This window comes from Homo sapiens, chromosome 22, assembly GCF_000001405.40.
Source record: "Homo sapiens chromosome 22, GRCh38.p14 Primary Assembly".
In the NCBI taxonomy this organism is placed as follows: Eukaryota; Metazoa; Chordata; class Mammalia; order Primates; family Hominidae; genus Homo; species Homo sapiens.
The window spans coordinates 11,602,013-11,610,236 of NC_000022.11; the positions used below are offsets into that span (position 1 = coordinate 11,602,013).

Genomic DNA, 8,224 nt, shown 5'->3' on the forward strand with positions numbered 1-8,224 from the left:
GTCTTGAGTTTTCCAGGCCCTCTCCGTGAAGGCGGCAATGCCTGTGGGTGTCGCCGTTGCCGTGATAGTCTCACACACGCAGGTGTGTGGATCTCATTCATTTTCTTTTTTTATTTTTATTTTTTATTTCTACCTCTTAAAGTCAATGATAATGTCACAAGTGTAAAATGAATGCATTTAAAAACATAAAAGATACATTTCAATGACAAGAAATATGCAATGATCATGAAAATCTACTGTACACTTTGCCAAGGTCAAAGAATGAAAGACAATATGGAAAAGCCAATCTTTAAATATATCCTTAATAAAAACTCTCTCCTACATAGTAAAAGCATCATCTAAACAGCAGCTCCAACCAAGAAAAAAAAAAAAAAAAAAAAGCAGAGTAGATGGGACAGATAACTTTCCCCAGGTTTTCCAGACAAAAACATGTGGTCACCAGGAATTCAAGGTAACTTCAAAAGCCACATTTAATTCAAAATAAAATGAACATTTCTGACAGATGACAGCAGTATGATACTGATTTTTTTCTTTCCTAGATACAAATGATATGGGGCATTTCTTAACAGTTTAGTAATCATCTAAGAATAACTGTAGAAATAACCCCAATTCCACCATCCCAGCCACTGGTATAAAACAAATAACCTTCCATTGATACTGTCTTTCACATAACTAAAATATCCTCACTTACTTGGAACAATTTCATGCTTACACATGATCACAAACACTTGTTTTTAGATGTTGTGGAATTATTGGAGCTGAGATTTTTGAAACAATATCTGAATCTTAGCAGAAACCTAATAATCCTTTCACTATACATTGATTGGGCTTCCTTAACCAAATCTGAGCAACTACTGTAGTAATAATGCTGGTGGTAATCCATGCTACTCTCAAATTTTTCCCTTTAAGAAATATATAATCCATGTAATTCTAGCAAATATGTTACATTGCACACTTTCTTAACAAGGATTGGCTGTTTTCAGGCCTTATTACGAAAACAAAGAAACAAACAATGGCAGTTACTATCTGTTTTTTATCACTGATAAGCTACAATGAAACTCAAATATGAGAGTTTAATTGTGTGATATTAAGTAAAAAATGAAAACCATTATAGTTTTACCAAAAGAAACATAAAAAAAATGGGAAGAAGTCAAATGAGCATGGCATAAGTCCCAAAGATTACACTATGATTCTGAACAGGATTTTCCAAACAAAGGTTATCTACATACAATTTCTGTGAATATTTCTTGCACTAGAAAGATCCAAAGCAAATGTAGGCTGAGCCCTACCTTGTCAAAGATAAATATTCAGATAAACTAGAAGTTCCATCTGCTAAAGTGCATCCACTGACCAGGTCTACCATGGCCCTGCTACTTACAGCCATCTAAGAAATTGGCCTCACTCATGCTCATTCACTCGTTCTGTGGCCTATCAAGAGTCACACATAATAATGGTTTTGCTTTTTTAAAAAAAACAAATACTTTATACAGTGAACTACAGAAAAAACAATTCTAAATATACTTTTAAAATTCTAGAGAGTTAAGGTAACCTCATTTTTAAAAATACTGAAAATGTAAAGGGTCCATATAAAGAGTTGTATTAAGTACATACTTCCTATTTTAATAATTCACTTGCTGTGCTCTTAAAATCTCTCTGAGAGAAGCAGATATTTTACTCGTGTCTTTTGGCAAGAGATTGAAAAGCAAAAGTAGCAGGGCTGTAAAATTTCATAAAATTTGTGGGATTTTTAAAAGCTAAATTATTCAGTATTTTGTATTGTTATTACACTCATATATTGCCCGGAATATATATACAGCAACCCAGCAACAGTGATTGCAACAAAAGTAAGGTAAACAGGTCTACAAAGCATTTGATTTCCTTATTAGATAAATGAAGTTTTCATAGAGGAAGTGCAAATTCAGATCAGGTTACATATGCTTAACAATTATTTAAACCTTATATAAAATTAAATCTAACCCTCACCACTACAAATCTGTAAGGAATCACTGTCAGGAATCTACAGGACTTGGCTCTTATTTACATTCGACACACAATTAGAAATTTCATAAATGATGAGATGCCGGCCAAGGGGATTCTTCAAAGACCTCCACCCAAAAGGAAAAGAAAGAGAGCTAAACAGAGAATTACCACTTACATATTTGTGGGTAATCAGCTTATTCCTCAGCCTCTAGACAGTGAGGAGGATGAAGAAATGGAAGAAGATAACAAAGAAGAGGAAGAAAAAGATCACAGTGAAACGATGAAGCCAGAGGAGCCACCTCAAAATTTACTGAGAGAAAAAAATCATGAAGCTGCCCCTCCCTGAATCTTTAAAAGCTTACTTGACATATTTTAGAGATAAATAACTTAGATCAAGAAGAAAGAATGCCTACTGATAATTCCTTTAGTCTTGAAAATGTAGCATTTGTTAGGAATTAAAAGAATTATTTATTTCATCAGAGCAAATTATAGTGAAAAAAATCACTTGTTACTGTCAGTAACATAAATGATGTATTGAGTGAATAAAAGAATCCCTTTTATAAAATCTATTTTTCTTTAAATCTTGGAAAATTGTTGTTTCACCTCAGAGTGATTTCAAAGTGGAATGTAACAGTAGTCAAGACTTGTGTGCTATTTCTGATTCTCCCTTTTCTCATTCCTTACGGATCTCGTTCATTTTCATGTGGAAAACGAGAGCGAAACTACAGAGAAAAGAAACCCCCGGTGCATCACGGCCTGAGGATGGATTCCTGTTTCCTGCGACATGGGGAGTCTCCACTATGGCCTGTTTCCAAACAGGAAACTGGAAAGGAGAGCGAAGACACGATGCTGCTTTTCCACGGTTCTCTGGAGGTTTCTGTGTCCCCACAGAGCTCGGGAAACAAACAGTCAACATGGTCACGCTTTCGGGGGCTAGAGACGCATGAGCAACAGGCCCCCTTGCAGAAGGCAAAGGAACGTGGAACCCGAAACCACGCTTCAGTCGGCCTGAGTGTGACTCCTGTGTGGACGGGACTATCCACCTCGCGCTCCGTTGCAGGCTCAACGTGGGGCTATCTCATCTGTGAACCATGTGGATGAAAAATGGACAATCACCCGAGTCTCGGCTCATTGCTCTCTGGGCAGTTCGCTCATTCCTTGGGAGACGAAATTCGTCTGAATTGCTCCCGGATGAAGTAACCCAGGCTGGCGATCCGGAGGGCCGGTGAGAGCGCCGCAGGCCGACGCGGCTGTGGCCCGAGCACTTAGCCTGCACTGGGCACCCAACATTTTCCCGGAGTGCGAGATCCTGCTGGTCCTGGAGGCAGAAGACTACTTTTCTCTCTGCCTTCCTCTCTCTGTTTCTTGCTCCCTCCCACCCTCTTTCCCTCCGTCCCTCCCTCAGTTCCTCCCTTCCTCCCTCCCTCCTTCCCTCTCCCCCTCCTTCTATCCCTCCATCCTTTCCAAGGTCCCACGGTCCATCCGTTCTTTCCTCCCTCCATCGCTTTCTCCCTCTCTGTCTCCGTTCGCCTCCCCATCTCTGCCTGAGTTCCCTCCCGCTTAGAAAGGGCAGCACCCTGGCTTGCACGGGGTCTCGGGTCTGCATTTAGCTGTCAGGCGCTCCACAGCGATGCCGAGGAAGCTGGCGGGGCAAGGGTAGGCGAGTGAAGGTGGGGCGGGGAGGCAGAGGAGGAGAGACGCGGAAAGAAGAGCAGGCCTGGCGTCTGACCGGGCCAGTGTTTCCCGGGATGGAGGTCTCCGCCCGCCCCACTGAAGAACGCGGCAGGGGGCAAGAGGGAAGGGAAGAGAGCTCCGCCTAGGCTAGTTAGAAAACCTAGGCTACTGCCTGCTAATCCGCACATGAGCAGTAGACGGTCCGCCTCCCGGTACCTGGACGGGCCCTGGGATCCCCGGAATGCTCAGCAAAGAATGATAGCCCTCCTCTGAGTGGAGTCTCTCACGGGACCTGGAACTCAGGGATCCTAAGCAGGTCAGCTGGAAGGGAAGACAAGCCGCTCCATACCGAGTCAGAGGTTCACTGCGAAAGAGAGGCCGCGGCCCTGCCCCCACCCCACCCCAACCCCGCGTCCTAAAGCTCCTCCAGCAGAGCCGGGTGTTCTTCCTGGCTGAGGAGTGGTTCCAGCGGAGCGGGCTCTTCCACGTCCTTCAGCTTCCCCAGTGGCGCCGGATCTAGGAAAGGTTGTGCCTTTTGCTGAAACTCTGGGCTTGACAGGAGCTCATCTAACAGGCTGGGGGTGTGTGTAGACGAGCGCCCCGACTCCTGGAGTGGTTGGGAGGTGCCTGGATGGCTTGCATCTGTGGTTGACGCGGAGGCCTCCGGGGTCGCGAGCTTCAGAGGTGGAGGTGCCCGGTATTCGGTTTCCCATGCTGCCCTGGCGACATGGGGCTCTAGCCCCACCCGGACTCCGGTGGGACGTGGGTGGCGCAAACACACCTTGCCCCTGTGACTCAGCTTGAGGGGGCCCAAGCTGTCCCACTGAGCACGCACCCAGCAGGCCGCCGTGTTGCGGGTCCTCTTCCTCCTGGCATTTGTTAGGCTGCGGAGGCCACCGAGGAGTCTGAGGGTGGGACAGTCCTACTTCCAGAGGAGCCAGGGCAGCGAACACAAAATCCCCGCGTGCAGGGGCAGGTTGAGAGATTCCTTCTGCCTGCGCAGCCTGGCTGGGCTGGAGCGGGGGGAAGGCCCTTGCTCCCTGGCTCACGAAAGCCCCATGTGGAGAGCCCCAGGCGTGCAGGGCGTGTGGGGTGCGGGAAGCCCTGTTCCCCACGCCCCTGTGTGGGTGAACTCGATTGAGGAGGGAGGAGGATGACACCCGCTGGGGATGTTAATTAGTAACCACAGTGGCCTCAAAGAGCTCAAATGAAAGGAAGAATTGCATGTCTCTCAATTTAAGTCCAGAGCTAGAAATGATTAAGCTTACTGAAGATGTAAAATTTTCATTGCTAGAGAGACATCAACACTTGACTTCAAAACTTCAAAGGATGGGCTGACTCTCTTTGAGGACCACTGCAGTTGGTGACTTTAAGTTATAGCCAATGCTCATTGACCACTCTGAAAAACTCAGGGCCCTTAAGAATTATGCAAAATCTATTCTTTCTGTGCTCTAGAAATGGAACATCACAATCTGAGTGACAACACATCTGTTAAGAGCATGGTTTACTGAATATTTTAATCCCACTATTGAGACCTACTGCTCAGAAAAAAACAAAAAACAAAAAAAGAAAAAACAAAAATGATTCCTTTAAAGGATTGCTGCTTGGCCAGGCACAGTGGCTCACACCTGTAATCACTGCACTTTGGGAGGCGAGGTGGGTGGATCGCCTGAGGTCAGGAGTTGGAGACCAGCCTGGCGAAAATGATGAAACCCTGTCTCTAATAAAAACACAAAAAAATTAGCCGGCCATGGTGGTGGTACCTGTAATTTCAGCTACTTGGGAGGCTGACGCAGAAGAATGGCTTGAACCCTGGAGGCGGAGGTTGCAGTGAGCCGAGACCACGCCACTGCCCTCCAGCCTGGGTAACAAGAGGGAAACTACATAAAGGAAAAAAAAAAGGAAAGAAAAGAAAAAAAGAAAAAAGATAGCTGCTTATTGACAATTCACCTAGCTACCCAGAAGCTTAGATGGAGATGTACTTGGAAATTAATGTTATTTTCATGGCTGCTAATACAATATCTATCCTTCAGCCTGTGGATCAAGGAGTGGTTTTGACTTTCAAGTGTTTATATTAAATAATAAATGCATTTTATAAAGGTATAGCTGTCATAGATAGTGATTTCTTTGATGAATCTGGATAAACTGAATTGAAAACCTTTTGGAAAGGTTTCACCATTAATCCCTTCATGATATTTCAACCTCCTCCCGTGAATCACAAATGTCCTTAATAGCAAATGCCATTAAGGACATTTGTGATTGATGGGAGGAGGTTGAAATATCAACATTAACAGGAGTTTGGAAGAAGTTGATTCCAGCCCTCATGGAAGACTTTGAGGGCTCAGGATGTCAGTGGAGGAAGTCCCTACAGATGTGGTAGAAATCACAAGACAACCAGAATTAGAATTAGGGCCTTAAGATGAGATTAAATTGCTGTAAACTCATGATGAAACTTGAACAAGTGGGGAGTTGCTTATGGATGAGCAAAGAAAATATTTTCTTGAGATAGAATCTACTCCAGGTGGAGATGCTATGAAGTTTGTTGAAATAACAACAAAGGATTTAGAATATTCCATAAACCTAGTTGATAAAGCAGCAGCAGGGTTTGAGAGGGTTTACTCCAATTTTGAAGGAAGTTCTACTGTGGATAAAATGCTATCAAACAGCATCACATGCTACAGGGAAATGTTTTGTGAAAGGAACAAACTTCATTGTTTTAAGAAATTGACACAGGCACCCAATCTTCAGCAGCCCCCACACTGATCAGTCAGCAGCCATCAACATAGAGGCAAGACCCTCACTGTAGAGAAAAGAAAGAGAGATCAGACTGTTACTGTGTCTATATAGAAAGGAAAAACATAAGAGACTCCATTTTGAAAGACTTGTACTTTAAACAATTGCTTTGCTGAGATGTTGTTAATTTGTAGCTTTGCCCCAGCCACTTTGCTTCAGCCACTTTGACCCAACCTGGAGCTCACAAAAACATGTGTTGTATGAAATCAAGGTTTAAGCGATCTAGAGCTGTGCAGGACGTGCCTTGTTAACAAAATGTTTACCAGCAGTATACTTGGTAAAAGTCATTGCCATTCCCTAATCTCAATAAACGAGGGGCATAATGCACTGCAGAAAGCCGCAGGGACCTCTGCCCTTGAAGGCAGGGTATTGTCCAAAGTTTCTCCCCATATGATAGTCTGAAATATGGCCTCGTGGGATGAGAAAGACCTGACTGTCCCCCAGCCCGACACCCATTCAGAGTCTGTGCTGAGGTGGATTAGTAAAAGAGGAAAGCCTCTTGCAGTTGAGATAGAGGAAGGCCACTGTCTACTGCCTGCCCCTGGGAACTGAATGTCTCAGTATAAAACCCGATTGTACATTTCTTCAATTCTGAGATAGGAGAAAAACCGCCCTATGGTGGGAGGACAGACATGTTTGCAGTAATGCTGCTTTGTTATTCTTTACTCCACTGAGATGTTTGGGTGGAGAGAAACATAAATCTGGCTTACGTGCACGTCCAATCATAGTAACTTCCCTTGAACTTAATTATGACATAGATTCTTTTGCTCACATGTTTTTTGCTGACCTTCTCCTTATTATCACCCTGCTCTCCTACTACATTCCTTTTTGCTGAAATAATGAAAATAATAACCAATAAAAACTAAGGGAACTCAGAGGCCGGTGCTTGTGCAGGTCCTTGTCATGCTGAGCGCTGGTCCCCTGGGCCTACTGTTGCTTCTCTATACTTTGTCTCTGTGTCTTACTTGTTTTCTCAGTCTCTCGTCCCACCTCACTAGAAATACCCGCAAGTGTGGAGGGGCAGGCCACCCCTTCACTCACCAGCAAAAAGATTATGACCTGATGAGGCTCAGATATTCATTAGTATTTTTCAGCAATGAGGTATTTTAAGTTAAGGTATGTACATAGTTTTTTAGACATAATGCGATTACTAATTAATTAATAATTAATTATTAAATACTCATTAGACTACAACATAGTTTAAGCATAACTTTTATAAACACTGGGAAACAAAATGTGTATGTGACTAACTTGATTGTAACATTTTCCTTATTGTGGTTGTCTGGAACCAAACCCACACTATCTCTGAGTATGCTTGTAGGTTTTTGGTTGTTCTTTGTTTTGAGATGGGGTTTCGCTCTGTCACCCAGGCCAGAGTGCAGTGGCATGATCTTAGCTCACTGCAGCCTCAAACTGCTGGGTCAAGTGATTGTTCTACCACAGCCTCCTGAGTAGCTGGGACTACAGGCATGCAGCACTATGCCTGGCTATTTTTTTTTTTTTTGAGACAGAGTCTCGCTCTTTCGCCCAGACCAGAGTGCAGTGGCGCTATCTCGGCTCACTGCAAGCTCCGCCTCCCGGGTTCATGCCATCCTCCTGCCTCAGCCTCCCGAGTAGCTGGGACTACAGGCGCCCACACCAGGCCCGGCTAATTTTTTGTATTTTTAGTAGAGACGGGGTTTCACCGTGTTAGCCAGGATGGTCTCGATCTGCTGACCTCGTGATCTGCCCGCCTCGGCCTCCCAAAGTACTGGGATGACAGGCGTGAGCCACCGCG

The 8,224-nt window shown here is 44.3% G+C and overlaps 2 pseudogenes; both read left to right on the forward strand.

The window, feature by feature from the left end:
- PCMTD1P5 (protein-L-isoaspartate (D-aspartate) O-methyltransferase domain containing 1 pseudogene 5) lies at nucleotides 2,007-2,668 on the forward strand (annotated as a pseudogene).
- DUX4L43 (double homeobox 4 like 43 (pseudogene)) lies at nucleotides 3,884-4,823 on the forward strand (annotated as a pseudogene).